Genomic DNA, 24600 nt, shown 5'->3' with positions numbered 1-24600 from the left:
AGGTCAAAAATGCCATGTTGCTTAAATATTACATATTTTGAGTAGGGCAAATGCTTAATAGTGCTGAAAAGGAATTTTTTCATATTATAGCTATGGAAACTGAAATGCAGAGGCTCAGAGTTTCAAGGTCACTCAGCCACAAGGAACAGAGCCAGAACTGGAGTTCAGCTCTCCTGGGTCCTCGTTCTCTGCTCTTTCTACCACACCAAACTGCCCTTTTTGCATAATTTCTATCTAATCAGAGGCACTTGGTCTAATGGCTGGTAGAGATGCATATTTATATTGCAAAGAGCATTGAAGCAAGGAATTTTACTCAATATGTTCTTTTGGAAAACCAAACATGCTTTATTTCATTTTTTTCACAATTTATTTAAACATCTCACATATACAAAATAGGTACAATTTAATTTTTCTGCTTGCCCAAGAAACAAAGCTTCTGTGGAACCATGGAAGAAGATGAAAATGAGACTGGCAAAGAACAAATGCTGAATCTGAAGAAGATTTGGGCAAATAATCTGCATACTTTTAATTGGGAATAAGATGGAAAATATGAATGCTAAATCAAATTTTTTAAAAAATACACCACACGATACAACTCAATACAGGAGTATTTCTTCTCAAATTCTTCTAGCACCATCAACATTCTTCAAGTATCTGAAATACTATTAATTAGCACCTTTGTATTATGAACAAAACAAAACAAGGACCTCAGTTCATCTCTGTCTAGGTCAGCACCTAACAATGTGGATCACACTCATGGGAAAGTGTTTTGAGGTAGTTTAAACCTTTGGAAGTTTGGGTTTTAAACTTCCCTCTGTGGAAGATATTCAAAAGCCACAAGTGGTGCAAATGTTTATGGTTTTTATTTTTCAATTTTTATTTTGGTTTTCTTACAAAGGTTGACATTTTCCATAACAGGTGTAAGAGTGTTGAAAAAAAAATTCAAATTTTTGGGGGAGCGGGGGAAGGAGTTAATGAAACTGTATTGCACAATGCTCTGATCAATCCTTCTTTTTCTCTTTTGCCCACAATTTAAGCAAGTAGATGTGCAGAAGAAATGGAAGGATTCAGCTTTCAGTTAAAAAAGAAGAAGAAGAAATGGCAAAGAGAAAGTTTTTTCAAATTTCTTTCTTTTTTAATTTAGATTGAGTTCATTTATTTGAAACAGACTGGGCCAATGTCCACAAAGAATTCCTGGTCAGCACCACCGATGTCCAAAGGTGCAATATCAAGGAAGGGCAGGCGTGATGGCTTATTTGTTTTGTATTCAATGATTGTCTTTCCCCATTCATTTGTCTTTTTCTGTTTAAAGAGAAGAAAATAGATACACAAAGCATCACTATTTCTGAATCTGATAATATCTGAACCTTTGATTTAATAAGAACCACTGTTTGGCATGTGTCATTCTGAAGATGTCTGTCCCAGATAAATAAGTTCATCCTTGAAATAACAGTATCAAGGGTGTCTTTAGTGGGAGGGGCTCCCTATCAGTCTAACAAAAAACAAACAAACAAACAAACCAAAAAAACCAACAACATTTCAACACACATTCCAAGTGACCTATCTCTACAAAGTCATTTTTAGGATTGTTGTGTGTATGTCCCTCTATGTGTGTCTTTGGGAGCGGGACCTGGGTGGGTATGTAGTCTTGCTGTTAGTGAATTTTAATTTTTCTTATATTTATAGCATATTGTAGAAAAAGCATTAAAAGTTAAATGTAGGCCATACTAATAAGTAAAATAAAATACACATAACTATAAATTATAGTTTAGGCCACTGAAGTCTCAAGAAATTTTAAGTTCTGGGCACACATTACCATTTAAAAAACATGCTAAAGAAAAAACAATGCATGGACATAGTATACATTTCAGCATTTCAGAAGGCACTATCTGATAAGAATACTCTGAATTTATCATCTGAATTTAAGTACGAAATTAATACGTATAAATAAATAAATATAAAATACATACAAAAACTGAATTTACTTATGAAATAAGTTAGTTCTCTCATTCTTCTGTTCTTTTAACCCCCCTTTAGACCCCCCCTTGGGGGCAGTCTAAGTTAGAACCCCCTCCATCCCACTTCCCAAAGCTATTCCCATATTTCACTATTACTTACAGAGCAGCCATCTACAAGAACAGTGTAAGTGAACCTGCTGTTGCCCTCAGCAACAAGTTCAACATCATTAGAGCCCTGTAGAATGACAGCCTTTTTCAGGTTGCCAGTCTCCTCATCCATGTATGCAATGCTGTTCTTGCAGTGGTAGGTGATGTTCTGAGAGGCATAGTTGGCCAGCAGGCGCATGAAGGCAAGTTGGGTAGCCATTTCCTTGGAAGTCACTCCTTCTACATTATATTCAAACTACAGAAAATAGGATGAAATTCCAGTTAAGTGGAGAAGGACTCAGATACTAAGAGTCAAACATGAAAAAAAAAAAAAAGAAAAAAAAAGATCTCAGGAAGAGTAGACTCAGATCCAAGCTTAGGAAAAGGGTACTTTTAAAGAAAACTTAATTCACTTGTCTTTGAAGTATCAGTTACCTAGATGAACATAAGACCTACTAGACTGAGGCAAGGTCATCTAAAAAAGTTATCTGTTTCAATTAATCCTTTTTGCATATGCTTCTTCTTTAGAATAAGAGAATGAGGAGGTAGAAATTCTGACATTTTTCTTTTTCTGTCATTTTGTAATTTATGGAATTCCAGTAGGCATTCAGTAAAGTTGGTGAAAAGGTTTGATTAAAAATTCAGAAAAGCTGCTCACATTCTGAAAATGCATATGTATGAGTGTGGCATATAGCTGGCCAGTGCTCCTTCACACTAAATGACATTAGTCAGTTTTTTCAATGATTACCAATTAAGTCAAATTTGAATAATAACTTTGAATTACATGGATGTGTCCAATCAATCCATCTTCTAATGTGCAATTTAGGACAAAATTGGAACCCAGGAAAGGAACAGGTCTTTTTTTAATAAGCCCATTTTTGTCAGAGATTAAAATGCAGATAATTAACAAACAGTCCTACCAAAATATTATTTAGCAGAAGGAGAGGTGTTTGTGGGATTCCTCACCTGGCTGCCAGCATTGATAGTTTCTCCTAGCCAGACGTGTTTCTTGTCCTTGGAGCTCCTATACCAGTTCTTGGCTGGGATGTTTTCAGGTTGGGCCCGGATACAGGTTTCGCCAGTAGAGAAATCACAGTATACTTTGATAGCATCCATAGTGCATCCTTGGTTAGGGTCAATCCAGTAGTAACCTTTTAAGAAAATAACATTCAGATCATGAAACTTCTCATTGAGCAGAACACAGATTCTAATAATAACTAATGAAAGATACTGACTCTCATAAGTAACATTTTTGATTGTCTACCCCATATTTAAGAGGAAGAGGGTGGCTATTTTTAAGATTAGACAGTTCCTTCCCTCCCCTCCTCCATGAAAAATCAAATCAGGGTACTTATTACTATGAAAAGTGCAAAAATACATTTTAAGGGAAATGAGGTTGGGTGCTGGTTGGGAGAAGATGACGCTCCATTAATTGGGTGTGATTTCACATAATGTAATCTTTACCCAAATGCATTTTCACTCTAAATGTCAATGGAAACTAATTTTGAAAAGCTCAACTTGTGAGAAGGGTCAGTCTGGTCTGGACATCTTGACCTACCACTGCTCCACTCTGGGTGGCTGAGTCTCAAGTCACGGCATGTGCGAGCTGGGTTCTTTCTAGAGCCTTCAGGAGTAAGAAGGGTCTCAATCTGGTTGTTGAGAGACTTCAGAGTAGCATCAACTTCATAGTCCTTGGGTCTGAGAGAAGGTGCTGAGCGAGGCTGGTCAGCCCTGTAGAAGTCTCCATCGTAACCAAAGTCATAACCACCACCGCTTACACCTGGAGGTCCAGGAGGGCCAGGGGGACCAGGGGGGCCCTGCAAAGGTGAAAGTGAGATAGGAGAGGCTTTATATTTTGTTACAGTGAGAGACATCCATGGCAGCAGATTTTCAGTTGAGCTTCACACGGAAGCATGTTCTCATCAGTAAAAAATAATCAAGTTCACATAAATAAATAACGAGCCCCCAGGCACACTTGCAGGGATGGACTTAACAAGCCCATTGCATATAGACAATTTCCAGATATTTTAGAGGATATATTGAAATGGGGCTAACTTTAATGGGTTGTCAAAGTTGTCTTGGTTTAGTCTGAAGAAAACATTCCTTAGGTCCGTGATCTTCTTTATTATTTCCCCAAATCATACTTACAGCAGGGCCTTGGTGACCCTGAGGGCCTCGAATGCCAGCAGGTCCAACTGTACCAGGATGTCCAGTGCGACCATCTTTTCCAGCAGGGCCAGAAGGACCAGCAGGGCCCTAAGGAAGACAGACACCAGGTACATGTGAGCTGGTGAATCCCACCAAGGGAGCAGCAGCCTGGGGCTCACTGCTCGCTTTAGCCTCTATTTCAGAGATGAACTGTCTTCTCTTGAGTCCACCTACCCTAGGACCAGCAGGACCCACGGAGCCAGGAGCACCTTGATCACCATGGTGACCCTTTAAAGACAGAAGAGGAAAATCACACTTTCAGAGCACATGTCAAGAGACATATTTTTTTTTTTTTTCCAAATTGAATGGGAAACTTTAGTTAAATGGACTCCGGATTGAGAAAATTGAAAATGTAAAGTGGGGCTCTTTTCTCCCATTATGTCTATTATATTCAATTTTTTTTTCACAACCTATTTCAGCAGTGCAATATTAGTCATTCCTCTAATTATGTTTATTTTAAGTGGGGTTGAAGGACATTGTTACCAGGAGATTTTATTGTATGTCTATTTCTATCTCCCTTAATCCTCACCTTTCATGTTGGTATGAAATAGCATTACCTCCAAGAGTGAGATGGAGTTAGCCAGAGAATGGGAAATGGATATTATATAGGCTATACTGGAACAATAGCAGTGAAAATATGAAAATCCTTCTGAGCTGAAGGCCTTCAGGATCAGTTTATGTGCGAGATGGCTACAGTTTACTTACAGCGATACCAGGCAGACCTTGCAATCCATTGTGTCCCTTTAAGCCAGGAAGACCTCTGGGCCCCTTTTCACCGGGCTCTCCCTTATCGCCACGAATGCCTTGTGGGCCCTATAAAGAAACAGAAGGATGGATAAGACTTACCGTTTTAAAAAAATGGCACTCACTTCACCACAAATACTGCTTAATTCGTTTACAAAGGTAACTCAGGACATGTAATGGTTTAGCTAGGCTCTCACCTCTGCTGGTAATCTGCTTTAGTTGTGCTATCTGTAAAGTGGCTAGATCCTTGTAATTGTTTAATACAAACAAGCATAAGAGATTTAAAATAGCTCAAGTTATTTGTATCAATTCTCAGCATGGACTGAAATTTTTAAAAAATATTAAGTCTAGCTGATATATTGTTTATTTTCTTAACAGATGTTTTGGACTGATTCTCTCTAAATGTTAGTGTTGCAAAGAAATCTTCAGCATGTACATACACTAGGACCTCTTGGGCCAACAGCACCAGCAGGACCAACAGGACCAGAAGGACCCTGTGAAATGAAAAAGAAAAACACAACTTAGCTAGGCCCAAGATACCCCTCCCCACTCCTCCACCATCCCCAAGTGTGGGGAAGTCAGAAGTGAAGCCCACGAGAATGCTGCACTGAGGGACTGGTATTCACAAACTTACAGTTTCACCACGGTTTCCATGTTTGCCAGCAGGACCCACGGGGCCATGAGGACCAGGTGCACCTGCAGCACCAACGGGACCAATATTGCCAGGGTAACCGCGCTCTCCCTACCAAAGGCAAAATGAAGCTTAGCATCAATCTGGGTTGCATTTTAATCACTTTTGAATTAGAGAAAGATGAAAAGTGTACTGACCTTGTGTCCGGGTTGACCATCGCGACCTGGGGGACCATCGTTCCCAGGGTTGCCCTGTGAAGACACCACACAAATTAAGGCTGTTGGTGAGGCTCTGCTGCCTACCAGCCCCTATGTTGTAGCTACTCTGTCTTCATCACTTCCAGTGCTCAGTAACGAACCCTCTTTCAGACTGTTAAAACTAGGGATAAAAACCTGCCAACCTAGATATTTTTTAGAGATGTTTTAAATACTTGGGCCCAGTTTTGCAGTGTGCTATTGAAAAGCCCATTCTTTGGCCTAAGCAATTTTCATATTTTCAGTACTAGGTGTAGATACTATGGAGAAGCTGACCATCTTGTTCAGAAATTTGGAAGAAGAGAACCTCAGCTCAGGACATAAAGTTTCACACAATGAAATCCTGCTCAGTTTTATTTTACAAACCAAGTGTTGGACTCACATCACGACCAGCTTCACCAGGAGCACCGTTGACTCCAGGACTACCCACAGCACCAGGAGGACCACGGGCCCCAGGAGGGCCGGCAATGCCAAGAGGACCAGGTTCACCCTAAACAGGCAGAGAAGATAAAATGACATTCCCCTTATTCGATGGAATGCTAACCTTCCCCTCCAAAACAACCCTACTCAGGAGATTCTAGTTTGAAGGAAGAAGGTAAATTGAATGTGAATGGGTCACACAATGGTAAGAAGTATCATTAGTATCATCTCTGCCCTCCTTCTCCACATGTAGATGGCCAGCTTTATGTAATCACGGGATGTTGCTCTGTAAAAAGTGAGCCTCGTGTCATTCAGTATCCCAAATGAAATGAATTCAAAAAGTTGATATATTTTATGGAGATGAGATGGTTTCTAGTTGTTGTCACGTATAAGGTTTAATGGAACGATTCAGAACTTCCAGAGTTTCATTCTTCCTACAGGATAAATGATGCCAGCATTTCATATTGCAGAGGAGTAAACGCAATTAGAGATTGTATCATTCCTAAGTGCGTGGAAAGAACAAAAATCATTCTGCATAATTTTAAGCTGTGTCTTTATAGTGTGTGTCTAAGTAAGGTGGTATTAAAGCTTCTTAGATAAGTGACATGTGATCTGTATAAAGAAAATGCCATGAATAAAAATCTTAAGTGAAGTTATTCAGTGATCAATCTGTCACATTTGAAGTGGCAGCTTTTAAAATCTTTTCTTATGTTAATGGAGTCAGAATACTGTCAAGCACTCACCACAGCACCAGCAACACCTGGTAGACCACGTTCACCTCTCGAGCCAGGGAGACCCAGAATACCAGGAGCACCAAGAAGACCCTGAGGACCTGGAGTGCCAGGAGGTCCCTAAATAGAGAAAAAATACTGAGTATTATGGGTAAGACCCTAGGTGATAACACAGGTTGGCTTGAAGATTGTGAGAATAAACTGTCTTCAGCTTAGAAAAAGGCTAATGACCTCCTATTACTAGGACATATCCTTGGATATCTTTTCTCTAGTGATGACGGTGAGTTTACATCTTGGCATGAATACTTTTGTATCTGATTCATCCTTGAGACCAATGGCACAACATTTAAAAATATGTGGTTGAGATTTATAAAGACACTTGGGGTGGTGAAATAGAGTTTTTATAGCCTCTAGGCAGGGAAACAAATAAAAAAATTTAAATTGTTATGGATACATAATAGTTGTACATAGTAGGAGGGGTTCCTCAAAAAACTAAAAATAGAACTACCATAAGATCCAGCAATCACACTGCTGGGTATATACACAAAGGAAAGGAAATCAGGCTGGGTGGGGTGGCTCACATGTGTAATCCCAGCACTTTAGGAGGTCAAGGTGGGTGGATCACCTGAGGTCAGGAGATCGAGACCAGCCTGACCAATATGGTGAAACCCCGTCTTTACTAAAAATACAAAAATTAGCTAGGCATGATGGTGTGTGCCTGTAGTCCCAGCTACTCGGGAGGCTGAGACAAGATAATTACTTAAACTGGGGAGGCGGAAGTCGCAGTGAGCTGAGATCGTGCCACTGCACTCCAGCCTGGGCAACAGAGGGGAACTCCATCCCAAAACAAAAAAACAAAAACAAAAACAAAAAACAAAAACAAAAAGGAAATCAGTAAAATCAGTATATCAAAAGGAAGCAAATTTTGACTTTGGCCTCTAAGGTCTAATAGGGGCACCTTTCAGAGTAGCACTAATACTGGACAGTGTATGTTTAAGAAATTGGTAGCCTACTGAGATTGATTAATATGTAGTAGGATGGCCACAGCAATGGGACTCTGTTCTAATCCTGGTACCAGTAAGGTGCCTTCAATAGCTTTAAGGGCTTTGTGATAAAACTGAGTTCCCTCATTTATTGTCTTCCCGATTTTGTGCTTTCTGAGCATCTTGGAAGCCACAGCCCCTCAGTGTGTGCTGGACAGATTTCCTGGCTCAACTGAGCTCTACTTGAGAGCCTGCAATACTCATCAACAAATAGATGCCACTTGAAGATTTGTGTAGGGGCTTTATTTTAATTCAGCATAAGGTATTAAGAAAGAGGAGTTGGAAATCACTTACAGCAGTACCAGCCTCTCCAGAGGGACCCTTCTCACCAGCGAAGCCAGGGGGACCAACTGCACCTACTTCTCCAGTTCGGCCAACTGGACCTTGGTCACCACGAGGACCACGAAGCCCTTCTTTCCCAGCAGGACCAGGGGGACCAGGAGGGCCAGAAATACCCTATGAGCAAATGTACAAGGTCATTTCCTTTCTGTTAATCACCAAGGGCCTGGAAGAGAGCAGCAAAGATTCTAGATCTTAAGATGCAAACAATGTGATGCAATAAAATAATACCCTGGCCATTTGGGGGAAATATTTATAGTTTTTAACCTTCTTTCTTGCAGAAAGAAGCAACTCCTGTCTTCCTTTATGAGGCTGTAACCAACCAAATAATGGAGGAGAGACTATGGCAAATTTCTATGAGGAAAAACAATGTCATGCCACTGGTACCCTGGCATATTGGAATCAGAACTATGTAGAATGATAGGAGTTAATGATAAATGAATGGGACTCTGAGTTTCGAAGGACTTTGCCTTTTCTTTTTTCTTCTTTTTTTTTTTTTTTAAAGAAAGCCAATATACGTGTTTTGTTCATAATTGAGGAATCCCACACACTTCTCAACTAGGTTTAATTAAATGCCTACAGGGAATGAAGATTTTTCTGTTATGAACCTGTAAAAGGATTCCAAGAAATCAACATCTTTGCTATTTTTTTTTCCCAGAAACCTTAACCAGAAGACTTAATCCTTGGTAATTAATTAAATTTTCTTGAGTCCTGACAGGAGAGTCTGAATCAGAATTAAATTAGAGGCCAAACCACCTTTAAATTCAGGAACAATTATACCTTAACAATGGAGGCAGAATGTTAGCCATAAAGGATAATTAGATATAGAAATATCTGATATGTGGCTAAAACTGTTCGTTTTTTTGTTTTTTTTTTTTCAAAAAGACCATGCCCCTGAAAGGGGACTGGTGTTCACATGAATAAAAGCCTCTTAAACTGATATTATAAAATATAACTTGTGATGAAATACCTTAATGGTTCAGAAAAGCTGACTTCAGACCAGGAGAGTAATAGCGAATATTAGTGATGTGTTTTCATGAAGAGTTTCTTACCAGTTTCCTATCAGAAGCCAGGCCTTTTGGCTAGAGTAAATGAAGACACGTTTACAGTGATTTACTTACAGAGGGTCCTGGGGGACCAGTCCGTCCAGCAGCACCAGGGAAACCAGTCATACCCTAAGAGCCAAGCACATTAGAATTCCACAGTCAACATCAACTCCAAGAATTTGGGTAAGATGGGAATTTCTTTGTTTTGGAAAATCAGTACATGTGACCAGGAATAGACCAAGGAGTAGGAGGTAGGCAGCTTCATATAGGGCATTATTTAGCCAGGACCCTGAAGGCCCTCCTTCTCCACACATCTTCCTTACCAGCATATTACCAGTTGCAATGCCCATATTTTGCGTTAAGGTTTGGATGGTCCTTTCTGAAATGCTGACATATTATCTTATGGTTGTAAAGGTATGAAGATAAGACACTATGTCATTATTACACATTAATGTGTATACATTAATAACTATCTTTACCACCTGGCTGAGTGGTAAGGAAATGGACACTTAATAGGTAATGGTGTTCATGGACAAAAGAATAACAAATGACCTAGATAATTCAGCACTGTCCAGTGAGAGAAGAAGTCAGTAAAGTTCATTTTTGGGGAGCTCTGGGTCTCTAGAGAATTGTTGTGATAGCATTGCCTGCAAAGGAGAAGGACATGGTCAGGCAGAAGAAGGGGCATATTAATAAACGCCAAAAGGAATATTTTTTCCGACTTTACAATTAAACTGCCTAGGGCCCACCTTGGTTATTACCTCAAGTGAGCTGATAGCAACATACACTGAGTTCCAGCTGAGTTCAAGTTAACATCAATATCGGAATTGCTCTGAATAGAATGAACTTGAATCTCAAAAGTTTCCTCATGGTAGTCCAAATTTACCAAAAATTTCAAAACTTTCAAGTGTCCTTAATAGATTCTGAAAAAAGAAAAGCGGCGAGAGTCCATTGTAAATACTCACAGGGGGGCCTCCATCACCACGACTTCCAGCAGGACCGGGGGGACCATTTGGACCCTAAATGCAAACAAAAAGATGGAGTCAAATCACAAACAAACCCTTGTAAATGCTACTCTTTTCTTCAAGTGGATCATTCCCGCATCTCTTAGAAGAAAATATAGAAATAAAAAATGACTATCTGTGTCAGAATGTTCTTCAATATTACCACCCTTATGAGGTTATCAGAGAATTAAAATAAAACAATATTCATGAAACTTTTATACTTTGTAAAGCAGTGTGCAAATGTTAATCCTTCCGTTATTTTCCATCTTCTATCTGGTATATTCCCTGTTGCATAGCAGGCACTTGACGGATATATATTTAATTGGAAGATCTAATGGGTAGCTGCTGTGTGGACCACCAGTGAATTCAACTTACAGCTGGGCCAGCAGCTCCAACGGGGCCTGTGGGACCAACAACACCGTTTTCACCCTTAGGCCCTTTGGCTCCTCTTTCTCCTTTAGCACCAGGTTGACCAGCAGCACCCTGTTGGAAATAAACAGTTACAGCTCTGGTATTCCGACCCACTCTACTCCCCAACTTAGGATGTTTTCAGATTAATCTTCATTATGTGATACTCACAGCAGGACCAGCAAATCCATTGGGGCCAGCAGGACCGACCTCACCACGTTCACCCTAGGTGGGAGAAGGGATTTAAAAATGTGTTATCAATCCTAGGTTCATCAATGTCTAAACATTGTGAGGTGTGAGTATACAAAATGACCCAGGTTCTTACTTACAGGGCTTCCCCGAGGACCAGCAGGACCAGCAGGACCAGCAGCCCCAGCTTCGCCCTATAATGGGACCAAAGATGAATCTGTTAATGTGCCTGACATAGATGCTCAAAGAACTGGGAGGGAGAGAGAACAGTGGTGGACAGACAGAGTCTGTAGTTGCCTTGGAAGAGATAACTGACGCACATCTCACAGAGTAAAATGAAGTGGATTTTTACTTAATGCTATATTCATTTTGGGGGTTAAGTAGTATGGGTTATACACTTGAGAAAACACTATAAATCAGTGCCTACAATACCAGGAGGAGGACATTTTAATTTTTAGATGGACACGGGGCTGATCTATTTGTGGCAATCTTTGCAATACAATAAATAAGATCTATTTTAAGTGGAGAGTTCAATGTGAAATGGGCACACTATGTATTTTATTGATTTTTTGGTAATAATTGAAGGCTTTGAGAAGCCTCAGTGCATTAGGATATTGTTAATGCGCAACATGGAGAGACTTTAAAACAAATGCTAGGGATTAGAGTATAGATCAGATAGCTGGCAAATCTATAGGAAGGGAAAAGTAATTTTAAACACACAGCATTTGTTTCCTGCTGCTCTATCACAATAGCTAGGTTTTTAAATAAGTAGGCTTTATACCAAGCCATAAAAATGAATTGCTGGGGCTCTTTGGGACTAGGGAAGGCGGGAAATTTTAGATATTGCTGTTGGCTTAGTGAAAATGCATGCTTACCCGGTCACCTGTGGCTCCAGCAGGACCAGGGGCACCTACAGCACCAGGAGCACCCTAGTACCAAAAAGGAAACATGTCTTATTAATAACACCCCGTATCATCAAAAGTGAACCTTGTCATTCTTTTTTTCTGTGCTTATACAGTGACTGAACACTTTCACTGCACTCTGGTTGGATATCTAGAAGGCCTCTGATGTATTTTGGTTCTAATTAACAAGACTATTAGAAGCCACTCTCAGAAGGAGGGTACTCCAGTAATAAAGGTTATGGAAATGTGTAAGTCAATAGCAGGTCAGAAATTTGGGAGATCTGAACTTTCCGCTATTGTAAAATTCCCTGGAGAGCAGCAAATGAGTAGCCTTGTTTGAAACTGTTAGAACTACGTGATTCAAAAGAAAGACTATTACAGATGTGCTACAGTCAGTTTTCAGCTCTGAAGGAGAGGTGAATAAAGGAATCCAGGCCGACTGTGGCCTAGAAGACCCATGAGGCTGACATACGAGATAAGGTAATTAGACTGTCATGGGATTATCTTTGGCATCTTCATGGCATTAACAGCTAATCTTTGGGGCTGCTCTTTGGGTGATAAATTTCTAGGGAGTAGGTTTGAATAACTATAGAATCTTGTTAGAGGTCCCGGCTTCCTAAAGCATAGGAGACTTATTTATTTATTTATTTTAATCTCTGTTATCACTTGAAGCAATCATTTAATATTCTATTAAACCTAAAGCTTTTGGTCTATAGTTTGTAGTTGGTATCATTGACACTAGGGAAGTTAGAAAATTCAGGATATTATTTTCAAAGAGGTTAAATCCCATTTAATTTTTCCTTTGGAACATGTAAAATGATATTATTAGTCATAGACCCAGGAGAGAAAGGAATATTATTTTATTAAACTTGATAAATAAAGTGTGTGTAGTTCTAATTTGGAAAACTTCTCAATTCAAACATAAAAAAAAAATCCAAGTACGAAGAAACATACAAACAAAATTCTACTCACACGAGCACCATCTCTGCCAGGGTTACCAATTTCACCTCTGAGACCAGGTTCACCCTGAAAGTATAAAGCAAGAGCAACTTTTTGTTTTCTGACCAAAATTTTGAATCGAAATTAATATGAAGTTTTTTTCTTTTTTACAGAAGATGCTATGATACCTTCAGTCATTTAAGATTTTTAGCAATGTCTCGATTCCTTACCATTCTGTAGAATGTTAATCGAGAAAAATAATGAGGAAAAAATAATTCAAGGCCATTTCCAGATTATTGTTAAACAATCTTTTCTAATTTCCGTACACTCTCCTGAAGCATAATCAAGCAAGGTACAGATTCATGTGGACAGAATTGTAAGGCAACATCACAATGGGCTGCAGCGCCTGATCACTCTTACGGCATAACTAATGCAGCAGCATGGTTGACAGCTGTTCAATGTAGCTTCTTCCCATTAATTAGGACAGGATGAGGCATTATTGTTAGTGGCATTAAAATGAGCCTCATGTATTACTCAACACCATCTGTTTGTGTGAAATTCCATGGTAGCAAGGAATTTTGCCAGATTAGTGAGTTTAGAAATGTGTAGGTGCTAGGTGGCAGAGGGAAATGTATATAGATAGATATGAAAATGCTACCAGACCACCTGCCAAGAATTGTGAAAACTTGGGCATCCTTGTGCAGCCTTCTTTACTAGAGTTCATCAACAATATGTAATAGGGGTCAACACGTACCTTTTCTCCCTTGCCTCCAGGTATGCCAGCAGCACCCCTCTCTCCTGGGAGTCCACTAGGACCAGATGGACCAGCAGTGCCCACAGCACCAACCACACCAGGTTCACCCTTGAGTCAAACACATGTGAAATCAATTTTAGTGGAGAAAGAAGAAAATGAAGAATCAAACTCTAGAAGAATTCCAATTTAAACAGCTAGCTAGACAGGCTTCTTGCCTGCTTTGAAACACAAAGAAGGCTGGGCTATTGAAAGGAGGGAGAATATAGCAGAGAGAGATGCTGTTAATGACATGGTGACTGAAGAGATGAGGGTAGTGGGAGTGCACAGCTGCGATTCCTCTATAACCTGCTTCAGTCCTCTTAAGGATGGCAGGCATGGAGAAGAGGATAGGACAATGGGAAGCAGAGAGTAAAAAATGTTTACCCACAAACATTTTTCAAGGATAAGTCTCTTAGCCCAGATAGAAAGCATGGAAAGAGACCTTGTCAATTGAGGAGATGTTTGTGTTTTAATCTCCTTAAGAGTAGAGACTGTATCTTCCATTTTTATATAAAACCCTACAATTCCACATACTTAAAACCTGTTGACTAGCTTCTGAGATACATAGATCCCTTTGAAAGTACTACCTCACAAAACCGTGGTTTCTTTATTTCCTCTCTCCCTTTTATGTTTTTATTTTTTTCCCAAGAACATCCTTCCATACACTAAAATAGCTTTTTGCAACTAATGTTTACATTTTTTCCCCTAGAGTTAAGAATGAAAATAATATGTGTTGTCTTCTTTTTATTGTGGTTAAGGTAATCTCTTTTTCAGGAATGTATATTAAATCTATTTTAAAATCTAAACCACAGATTCTATTTTGGAACACAAGTTTCCAGACAAATTTTTGGGGGTGAATGTATTGCCCAATGAATTTTCATCATCATAAACTCTTATTATTAAAAGTCAGACTACTTGTTGAAATTTTACTCTATGGGATGAGATGTTAAGATAAAAAGTTATTTTCTCTGAAAATAATGTCCAATGAATACAATGTTTCTAGATTAAAACAAAAGCATAAACAGCGTGAGGAGAAAAGAGTGACAACCCATACTAATTCATTTATGTTTTGGGAACTCTGAATTTTCCCCCACAGTTTGTTGCTATTGTTTGTTTGTTTAGAATAATTCAGGTCCACTGGAATCGGATTGCTGTTTACTGAGAGGGAAGTCATCACAGAACTGGAAATAAATAAAAATCTGAAAAACAATTATCTTTCTATTGTAAAGGGTCTACTTATTCCAGGCAGACTGGGCCAAACCAGCAATATAGAAAACATAAGATTTTACCTTGTTTCCATCAGGCCCTGGGGGTCCAGAAGGACCTCGGCTTCCAATAGGACCAGTAGGACCGGCAGCACCACTCTCACCTGGGGGACCGCGTTCCCCCTGAAAAAAGTGATTAGAAGAAGTGTTGCACCATTCATCACTTTCAGTGATACTGTTTTACATATGAGAGTTTACATTTGTGTAGCTTCCGAGCCCTGGTTTGCATTTATTAGCAAATTAAAATTTCTTTTGTTCCTAATCTCTCCACTAGTAAAATGAAGAGATTGATGAGATATTCTCTAAAGTGTCACTTAGCTCTAATGTTCCATGACTACGACTCCAGAATTCGTTGCTTCTAGAGTATAATATTCAATTTTTGCAATTCATTCCCCTTCTTTGAGGAGTCTTTTCTGTGATAAATCCATAGGTAAAAACAGATGCCAGTTATGTGTAGTATTCAAAGAAAAGATTGTGTCATTTTAGTTGAATAGCAATGGCAGGTGTAGATAACATTAGATATTCTCCTATCTATGCCCCCTTTTTATAACCCTGTGTAATAATGATATAACAGTTACAATATTCATATGTATATTTGATATATGTATTTGTGTATATATATATATGTCTGTCTATCTAAATATCTCCCAATTTACATCTAAATATCACTAGAGCATAGCATTCTATAGCCCAAAATATTTATCACATAGGTCCACGTTGTAACTGTTTCAAAGGACCTTGTTATAAGTTGGTTCTTTGAGCTTCCTACATATGTGTTAACTAGTGACATGATGGAATACTTTCAGGGCAAATTAATCATTTCAGTGATGCTAATACCCATAGAGAAACTAAGTTTTTTTTTCTTTATATGACTACTCATAAGTTCGGCTTTAGGCTTTGAACATCAACACACATGGCCAAAATTAACTTTATATCTTAGTAACATATTATTTTTCCTTAGCTCAAGTTGAGCCACTGTCACAAATGTAGCATAGTTGTCTATATAAATCACTGACTATAATATATATTGATTTATGTGTTTCTTATAACTATGTAATTATTGAATAGGAAATATGAGCAATGAAACAAAAAATTCTACTATCAACTTAGAAATCTAATGCTTTCTACAGATTACATTTGACTATAGAAGAGCATCAGAGACTTGTTGCAGGGTCATCAGTGGCTTTAAGGAGAAAGCACTACTACTTTTAAAAACACATTGCCAGAGTTTATGAAAGTTAATGAAGTAACACTTACTCTTGGACCAGCAGGACCAGGGAGACCAAACTCACCATGGAGACCCTAGACAAAACATGAGAATAAAGCATGAAATCTGTGTGTGATCTCTAAATTCACTTATGATTAAAATATTTGAAAAATTTGGAAAGAGTGAAATAAACCTGGCAGTATCTACATGAGTGCATAAGTACACAGGCTAATAAGAACAACTTTTAGTATGGAAAGATACAGAAAGAGAGAATTTTATTGGTGACAAAAATGTATCCATCCCAGAACTTGGTATCAAAAAATTTGTTTCCCATTATTTAGTTTATTGCTTTTTAAAAAGTGACAGACTATTTCCTTCAATAATAAGATAAATAATAATGAATATTAGACATTGCCTATTTTTAGCTGTATAACAGATCGTCTTCTTAAGAGAAATTATCATATTCTGTACATTGCCTAGTTAATTGTATACCCAAGTGTATCTCTTTTATTACTGACCAGCTGTCTCCTTAATATGTCCTACTGTTGACAAAGGAGACCAGGCCACAGAATGTAACTAAATAGGGGCACATTCATCACAATTAGAGAGAAAATGACTCAGAACTCATGCCCTGATTGTGTATAGTAGTGTCATGTCTGAATGCCAAGAAAAACACAAAAGGAATTTTTCGGGATCTAGTTTGATTGAAAATTGTGCATTTACTTTTTCACTATGGGGAAGGAAATAATTTGTATCTTAACGTTATCAAGAACAATACAAAAAGTAAGGCTATTAAATAAAATATTCATTGATAGATTTTACTTTCATAAGGTGATGTTTCATTAAATCTGTAAAACAAAGTAATCAGAACTAAAGTAATTTGGCTCATTCTCTCCATCAGCACCAAAGTATGTAAAACACTATCATTAACATATGAAATACGAAATTTTCTTTTACATATTATAATTGCATAGCAGTGGGGTATTAAACAGGGGGAAATTCTCAAGTTTAGTAGTTACTACTTACTATTACTTGTTTTACTCACCCTTTCTCCTGGTTTGCCAACTTCACCAGCGGGACCTGAGGGGCCAGGCAGACCCTAAAAATGAAAAGAAATACAAATCTCAATCCCATGGCTACGTTCAGGAGATTTGCTAATAATTGAGTTTGGGGGTGGTGGCTACCAAATATCAACATGAGCACGATTGTATGTTATTAAGCATTACACAAAAGTTTGTTTGAAAAAAATGCACCTTTCTTTGCTTCAGTCCTGAAATCATGTTTATTGTGGTGGAGAAGAGAGGTACGGTATGGTGATTTACAGCTCAATAGGCTGACCAAAGGCAGTATTGTATATGTTTGAGTTGACTTACCTGGAAGCCTGGAGGACCAGGGGGACCCTGTTCACCTTTTCCACCTTGAACACCCTGAAAGTGACAGGAAAGAGAGCATAAATAGCAACGTATGTCACCACTGTTGTCTAGCTGTATAACTTTTGGACTGAAAATGGAGATGGCCAGTTTGAGGACTATATACATTCTAGTGCAGAAGAGCACAAGAGTGGGAGAAATACTCACCTGTGGTCCAGGAGGTCCCTGAGCACCATTGTTTCCATCAGGACCTGGAGCACCCTAAAAATATTTAACAGAAAGGCTGATGGTTAGCTGCAAGCCAGGTAGTTTAAGATGTCTCAAAGCCTCAGGTATTACTTCCTTAAAACAAGTTTGTCATTTTAGCATGAATTAAACTCATTGTGGGTTCCCACGAAAGCCCAAATACTGCCTACTAACTTTTTAAATTTTTAATTTGTGTGGGTACATAGTAGGTATATATATTTATGGGTTTGCCTACTAACTTTTGATATGACTCAAGCGAAGTATGCGACACAAGGCAATTTATAAAGGCCAGAGAATGCTACTACATATTCATACCCTTTTAATTACAAAATGAATAAAATAAAAGCCAAGTGCTTCTGTATTTTTGACCTAATGTATATTCTGATTTGTTTTTGCTCACTGTTTTATAAGTTTGGTTTTTAAAAAGGCATTTTATGATAGTAAAAGGACCCCTGGGGATGCCATCTTGAAAAGAAAGTGACAAAATGATATCAGATGGTGTAAAAAAAAAAGTGTGGTTCTTAGATGAATGCTATGTGAATAGATCTGTACACAAGTTAGCACCTACCCGAGCACCAGCAAGACCAGCATGACCTTTATCACCGTTTTTGCCAGGATCACCCTAGAGTAAAAATGAAAAACAAAACAAAGAACAGCTTTGCACATTTAATGTCAAATTAACCACGGTGATTTTGCAATGTTGAATCCTGCTTGTTTTTGTGTTCTTTTGAGATCCCTAGTCTGTGGTTTCTGTTATCTAAGGATGATCCATCACCATGCAGCTCCATGTACAGTAAGATGTCCCTGTGTCTGTGGAAGCATGGGGCTCAGGAGATGGATTTTTAGCAGGGATATAAGGATACACTAGAGGTAAACTTTTAATGTGATAAGTGGCCTGCAGTTTTCCTGTGTTGAAAGGAAACTCCCTGAGACTGGACTGATTCGCAGGAGATAAATACTAGAGTTTGGTAAAATTTGGCTACAGAAAGTGCTGAGGGTAAGAAAGTTGTGGTGATTCTTACAGTGGGGCCTTTGGGTCCAGGGAATCCAATGTTGCCAGGCTCTCCTCTTGCTCCAGCTGGGCCAATTGGGCCAGGCCTGCCGTCGATGCCAGGGAGGCCCTGAAAGCAGAGTTATTTCAAGTTTACTCAGTGTCAACATATTCTCACAACCTCAAGCTTATGATGCTGCCACGGATGAAACAGAATAGTTTTCTGAATGCATAGAGCTTCTTGTATAAAGCGTTAATAAATTATGAATCCATTTTCCTTTTCTAACTAGGATGTCAGTACACACATAGCCAATTCAATCTCGTATGTATGCAATTTCCCTCATTCCCTTCTCTTGCATCCCCTTGTCACCTGCTTCAATTTTCCCTGCCATGTTTTTCTCTCCCCTGCTCTGCTTTCAGTCCTGTATTCATTTGGACTCCATAATTACAATCTATTACTCTGCATTCCCAGATGATGTATGTGTCTGATATTTATTTTCAATGTGTTCATGTATAAATAAGCCACAAAATAGACTTGATAAGGGTGCAATAAGTGTCCTTGAAAATATAATGGAAAATGAGCAATACTTACGACAGGACCTTCTTTTCCAGCGGGGCCGATATTTCCAGGGGAACCAGGAAGACCCTATAAAATAAATGAGGATGTTTTTATATTGGCACTTTAACTTACATACTCAAGCCTTAGATTAACTGAAGTCTAACAAAGGCACCTTTTCCCCCGACTTTTTGTTTGTTGCCTAGGGTAAATCATTAGGAATATTAGCCACTAGCTGGGAAGTGTGAAAAGAGTTCTGAAATTTTTCTTCTATTTTTTTGTGGCTTTCCTTTTATTGAAATTTAGTGCAACTCATCCTTTTATAGATATCTCAAGAAACTGTTAAGCAACATGTATATGGGCAAAATGTATCACGTTATTTACCTCATAATAGAAAAACTAATACTTTTAGTAAACAATTTCCAAAGTGGATTTCTTATTGCTATATTTGGTGTCCCTATTACTTGTTTATGGTACAATTACAGTTGATATTCACCCATAAGAGGCAATGGAGGCAAAAAAATTACTCTATTGCTATGGATTAGTGTGTCTATGGACCTAGAGGTTATTTCTCCATAGCTAGTGTGATGCTGAATACATTACAGCACTTTGTGATTGCTAGGAAAAAGACTTCACTTATGAATCTAATAAACCAAAAATGTATAGTCCTAATATATTTCATGAACACCTTATATAAAACTCACAAATTAAGATAAAAGATTCATGCTGATAGGAGGACCAATCTAATTTGGATATATTAAAATAGATCTATTCTTCCAAAAACCTCATAGCCATTGTATCAAGTAATAAATAGAAAATTTATGAACTAATTAAATGCATGAAAATATCTACTGAGCTTTGATAAAGTCAAAAATGCAACTGTCAGCAAGACTACTAACAAATTTACTTTTGATGTTTTTATTGTTATCTTCAATATTAACCAACCCTTTAAAGAAGGAAGTAATGCCAGGTGTGATTTGCTCAGAATCAGTTTGAAACTTACTCTGGGTCCCATGAGACCAGGCTCCCCAGGGCGACCAGCATCTCCATTAGGTCCTCGGACTCCAGCAGGGCCACTTGCACCACGACTACCAGGAGGGCCCTATTCAAAAAAAAAAAAAAAACAGATAGAGGAGGAGGATGCTAAAGCTAATGACACACCCACCACCAGAAGCAGCAAGCCCCTTTCTAGGAAGTAAGTGATAGACAGCTTACCATGACGCCAGCTCTGCCATCAGCTCCAGGAAGACCACGAGAACCAGGACTACCCTGCAAGAAAGTACATGAAATAGAGAGAATTAAAGAAATCTCTTGGCTTTGATAAGGTAGAGTTTGTAAAAAATAGCATGATCTCCTTACAGGGGAGATACAGACACAAACCAAGCCAAAACACTTCACCCAACCCCTAGAGGAATTCATAGATGAGCATCCTGCAAAAGTAGGTCAACATTGTTTCCAGGCCAATTTTATAACATATTAAATTGAGAGTCACTGATTTAATAAGGCAGATGGAAAGCAGATGCTTTTTTTGCCTAAGAAAACACAGTCAGTAATTTTGACCAATTCCCAGTGAAGGGGTATCATAATCTGCCTCTGGTGTGTTAGGGTGTTGGGAGCATTTGAAACCTACTCTCAGCCCAGGAGGTCCTGGAGGGCCGGCAGATCCAGCTTCCCCATTAGGGCCTCTCTTTCCTTCTTCACCACTGGGACCAGGAGGACCTTGGGGCCCAGCAGAGCCCTGTTTAATGAAAAGAACAAAAGAAGAGGGAGTAAAAAAATAATTTTAATACTATGTCCAGCTGGAGAAACTGGAATGAGAAAAACAATTAACTTTATAAAAGTGTGATGATAGAGCTACTTACGGGCTCACCCTTGTTACCGCTCTCTCCTTTGGAGCCAGCTGGACCAGGCTCACCCTAGGGTTCAATACAGAACAGTGGTCAAAGGACAAACATTTGTTGAAACTCTCTTGCAGACAAATCTCTTAGAATATTTGTGGGTCAAGGTAAAGAGAAGCTCAAGTTCTCTAGGAAATGTACCCTGTTCATATTTAAATTGAGTACAGGGGAATGGTATTATTGGTCGAAGGGACAAAACTGATATTGTAGAACTTTGCCTCATTTACCTTGAGGTAATGATTTAAGATAACAGGAAGGGCATGTCTGTGTGCATATAGCAGACGGGAGTGTACATATATATATAAGAAATATAAACTAAAAATGCTAAGGAAGAGAAAAATAGGAATAATAAAACTACAAGTGGAAGTCTAGATAGTGATGAAATGATGGCAGAGGTGGTATTTCAGGATGATGAGAACCACAGTCATGACCACTTACAACAAGTCCTCTGGCACCAGTAGCACCGGCAGCACCAACAGGGCCAGGAATACCGCGGGGTCCAGGGAGGCCGGGAGCCCCAGCAACGCCGGGAAGGCCCTGTGAAGGAAAATGCAGTGTGGTCCATTAGGGAGGTGATGGGCTGTAGAGGCAGCACACATTAAATGCCTTTAAAATCATAGCAGCACATTTTAGCTACGCAGGTATACTCACAGCAGCACCCTTGGCACCAGTAAGGCCGTTTGCTCCAGGATTACCCTATGAGGAAAAGGAAAGGAGAAGGATATCAGTTAATTGGAATATTTCGGTTCTTCTTTGACCCCATCTTCATTCTTCTTCTTCCCCATACTCCACCTTTGTTTTCTTTTACTCAATAAAGTTTAAAGACAGTGGCTACTTACAGGAGGTCCAACGGGGCCGGAGAGGCCTGGAAGACCCACTTCACCACGGGGACCGGCGGGACCAGCAGGACCAGCGTTACCAACAGCTCCAATTTCACCCTAAAAGAGGAAATTAAACCAAGGAATTAACCAGCAAATAATGAAACAGCATATCTGTTTTTAAGATGCCAAGTTTTATGAAATGTCTTCATAAAACTTCAAAATTGCAATTATTTTTCTTATCCGTTTTATTACAAGATTTGAGTTTGGTTTCCTATTTTCCTTGCTTGATTCTGCCATCTTGGCTACTGTTACTACCTTCCCTCTCCTTCTGTCTCTCTGTGGTTGACTCTGGTTCTCAGTCAGTCCTAACTAACTAGTCCTAGAGACAATTTCCATGTTGTCATCTATATCGATGGGCACAGTGCACAGTGCAGAGAAATGATCTATTTCAAATGTAGAGTGAGAAAACTGGTCATTCTATGTCCATTTTGAAGGGAAGGAATAATTAAGGTAACTGTTTCGTAATTATCTCTTTATCTGCAAACACAGTTCCAATCTTTCACATCACAGTAAAAAGTTTATCAAAGTAGTGACAATGGTCACCAGTGTTTTTACCTTGGGGCCAGGGGCACCTGGGAAGCCTGGAGGGCCAGCAGACCCAATGGGACCCTGAAATCAAAGCAGAAGGTGGTAAGAAATTTCCTCCAAGTAAATTAAGAAAACAATAACAATGGCAGAAGATTGAAGTTGCTTACAGTGGCATGACACTGTTTATATTAGTAAAGAAAAAAACTGACAACCAGTCTGTTGTCGTTAGGATCTCATCAAAGGCAAGACATTCATGGTATCCAGGGTGGGGATATTTTGCTTTATACATCAATCAAAAGTTCAGGTACTTATAAATGGCTTACACTACTTATAAATGGAGCCTTCAAAAGACCTCACAGAACATTTGGTAAAGTGTCTGAAATGATGCTATTTCGTAAGAGATTAATGAAGAAGACAGCACCCACCCCACATTCTCAACTCCTTTCAAACTCCCCAGTGTCAAAACTTACAGCAGGACCCACGGGACCCACACTTCCATCACTGCCACGGGCACCCTAAGAAGAAAATAAAGGGAAGATCAGGTGGAAACTTAAATGACAGCCATTAGAAGATTTTTTAAAAGGATGAAACTGAACAAAAATGGAAGCACTTACAGCTGGGCCAGGGGCACCAACACGTCCTCTCTCACCAGGAAGCCCACGGGCTCCCTAGAAGCAGAAATATTTTCAATAAAATCCAGAATGCTAATTTAAAAAAAGTCACAGGCATCATTTGCTTTGTTCAGTTTCCAACCTGTACAAGAATACACTAAAAATAAATAAGTTGCCTTCTAATTCCAACTAAACAGTAGTGGATTTCAATTAAGTATCAGAAGGCTATTAGAAAAACATCAAAGAATACAATGCTGAAGGATACAGTGATTAGCAAAAACATTAAAGAAGTTCCATCTCATAAAGAGTGTACACATTTAAATTTACAATGAAGTAGTCAATACTTACTGTTTGACCTGGAGTTCCATTTTCACCAGGGGCACCAGGTTCACCCTACATGGAGAAGGATTGAGTTTTTGTTCATTAAATATAACAATTATTTTTCCTGATAGTGCAATTTTACTCTATTTTTTTTACTTTGAACCATTCATATACTTCATAATATTTCTTACACATATAGATTGTTTTTCAATTATGCCAGACACACAGATTTTAAAATGTGCTAACATGAGTTTTTATTCAGATAGTACCACATATCCAGGTTCTAAGGAGATGTGGTTATTTGAGTGTACCTCCTCCCCAATTTCTCCCTTAGATTCAGGATATCAATTATATACTAGAAACAATATCATAAAAAGAGATGGCAAAGGATAAATTTGCTTTCAATGTAACCATATTTATCCTTTTTAAAGTTATTTTGAACACTCAGTGTTATCACTTTCATAAAATGTGCATGAAAAATTGAAGCTTCATGGTATTTTTTAGAGCCATCATATTTATTTCCAATCTATATTCTTATCCTGAGTAAAAACCAGGGTAGTAGTAGTAGTAGTAGTGGGATTTAATACTATGGCACATGTAAAAGAACTTTTTTTAAAGATAATCTGATTTAGATATAGGGGAAATATGGTTTAAGAGACCTCATAAGGACCCTTAATTTCCAGGATTCTATGTGAAGTCTATTCTTTGGGAATAAGCATTGAAGTGGCAAGGGGGGATCATTTCTAGCCTATGACTTTCTAACCTCTAGATGTGTGACTTTGGGCAAGTCAATTGCTCTCACGAAGCCTCAGTTTCCCACCTCTGCAAAATGAGGGGGTCTCCAAAGCTCCTTGCAGCTCTAACATTTTATGATACAGTGATTAGTAGTCTGAGCTGTTATATCGGGCTCTTGGGAGAATGAGTTTGACCTTATCCATTTGTGTGGCAGCTGGAAAGTTAGAATAGATTC

At 38.8% G+C, this 24600-nt stretch overlaps 1 protein-coding gene across 1 annotated transcript in view; it reads right to left on the bottom strand.

The window, feature by feature from the left end:
• Positions 322-24600, bottom strand: part of COL1A2 (collagen type I alpha 2 chain) — a 36333-nt gene continuing 12054 nt past the window's right edge. Inside the window, exons 13-52 of the mRNA NM_000089.4 lie at positions 23658-23702; positions 23313-23366; positions 23169-23213; positions 22726-22779; positions 22129-22227; positions 21941-21985; positions 21728-21826; positions 21254-21307; positions 21022-21129; positions 20607-20660; positions 20395-20493; positions 19428-19481; positions 18867-18965; positions 18413-18466; positions 17806-17859; positions 17602-17655; positions 17274-17327; positions 16279-16323; positions 15046-15144; positions 13718-13825; positions 12997-13050; positions 11998-12051; positions 11263-11316; positions 11105-11158; positions 10901-11008; positions 10487-10540; positions 9597-9650; positions 8431-8592; positions 7106-7213; positions 6325-6432; positions 5886-5939; positions 5692-5799; positions 5498-5551; positions 5019-5126; positions 4488-4541; positions 4254-4361; positions 3664-3922; positions 3072-3256; positions 2119-2361; positions 322-1302 (exon numbers count right to left, since the gene is read on the bottom strand). Of these exons, the coding sequence (NP_000080.2) occupies positions 1156-1302; positions 2119-2361; positions 3072-3256; positions 3664-3922; positions 4254-4361; positions 4488-4541; positions 5019-5126; positions 5498-5551; positions 5692-5799; positions 5886-5939; positions 6325-6432; positions 7106-7213; positions 8431-8592; positions 9597-9650; positions 10487-10540; positions 10901-11008; positions 11105-11158; positions 11263-11316; positions 11998-12051; positions 12997-13050; positions 13718-13825; positions 15046-15144; positions 16279-16323; positions 17274-17327; positions 17602-17655; positions 17806-17859; positions 18413-18466; positions 18867-18965; positions 19428-19481; positions 20395-20493; positions 20607-20660; positions 21022-21129; positions 21254-21307; positions 21728-21826; positions 21941-21985; positions 22129-22227; positions 22726-22779; positions 23169-23213; positions 23313-23366; positions 23658-23702 (3507 nt within the window). The 3' untranslated portion in view covers positions 322-1155. The remainder of the gene's footprint in view (positions 1303-2118; positions 2362-3071; positions 3257-3663; positions 3923-4253; positions 4362-4487; positions 4542-5018; positions 5127-5497; positions 5552-5691; positions 5800-5885; positions 5940-6324; positions 6433-7105; positions 7214-8430; positions 8593-9596; positions 9651-10486; positions 10541-10900; positions 11009-11104; positions 11159-11262; positions 11317-11997; positions 12052-12996; positions 13051-13717; positions 13826-15045; positions 15145-16278; positions 16324-17273; positions 17328-17601; positions 17656-17805; positions 17860-18412; positions 18467-18866; positions 18966-19427; positions 19482-20394; positions 20494-20606; positions 20661-21021; positions 21130-21253; positions 21308-21727; positions 21827-21940; positions 21986-22128; positions 22228-22725; positions 22780-23168; positions 23214-23312; positions 23367-23657; positions 23703-24600) is intronic.

This window comes from Homo sapiens, chromosome 7 (genome assembly GCF_000001405.40).
Source record: "Homo sapiens chromosome 7, GRCh38.p14 Primary Assembly".
Taxonomy (NCBI): Eukaryota; Metazoa; Chordata; class Mammalia; order Primates; family Hominidae; genus Homo; species Homo sapiens.
Note: the sequence above shows the minus strand (reverse complement) of the source record. Positions and strands in the feature narration are given on the sequence as shown.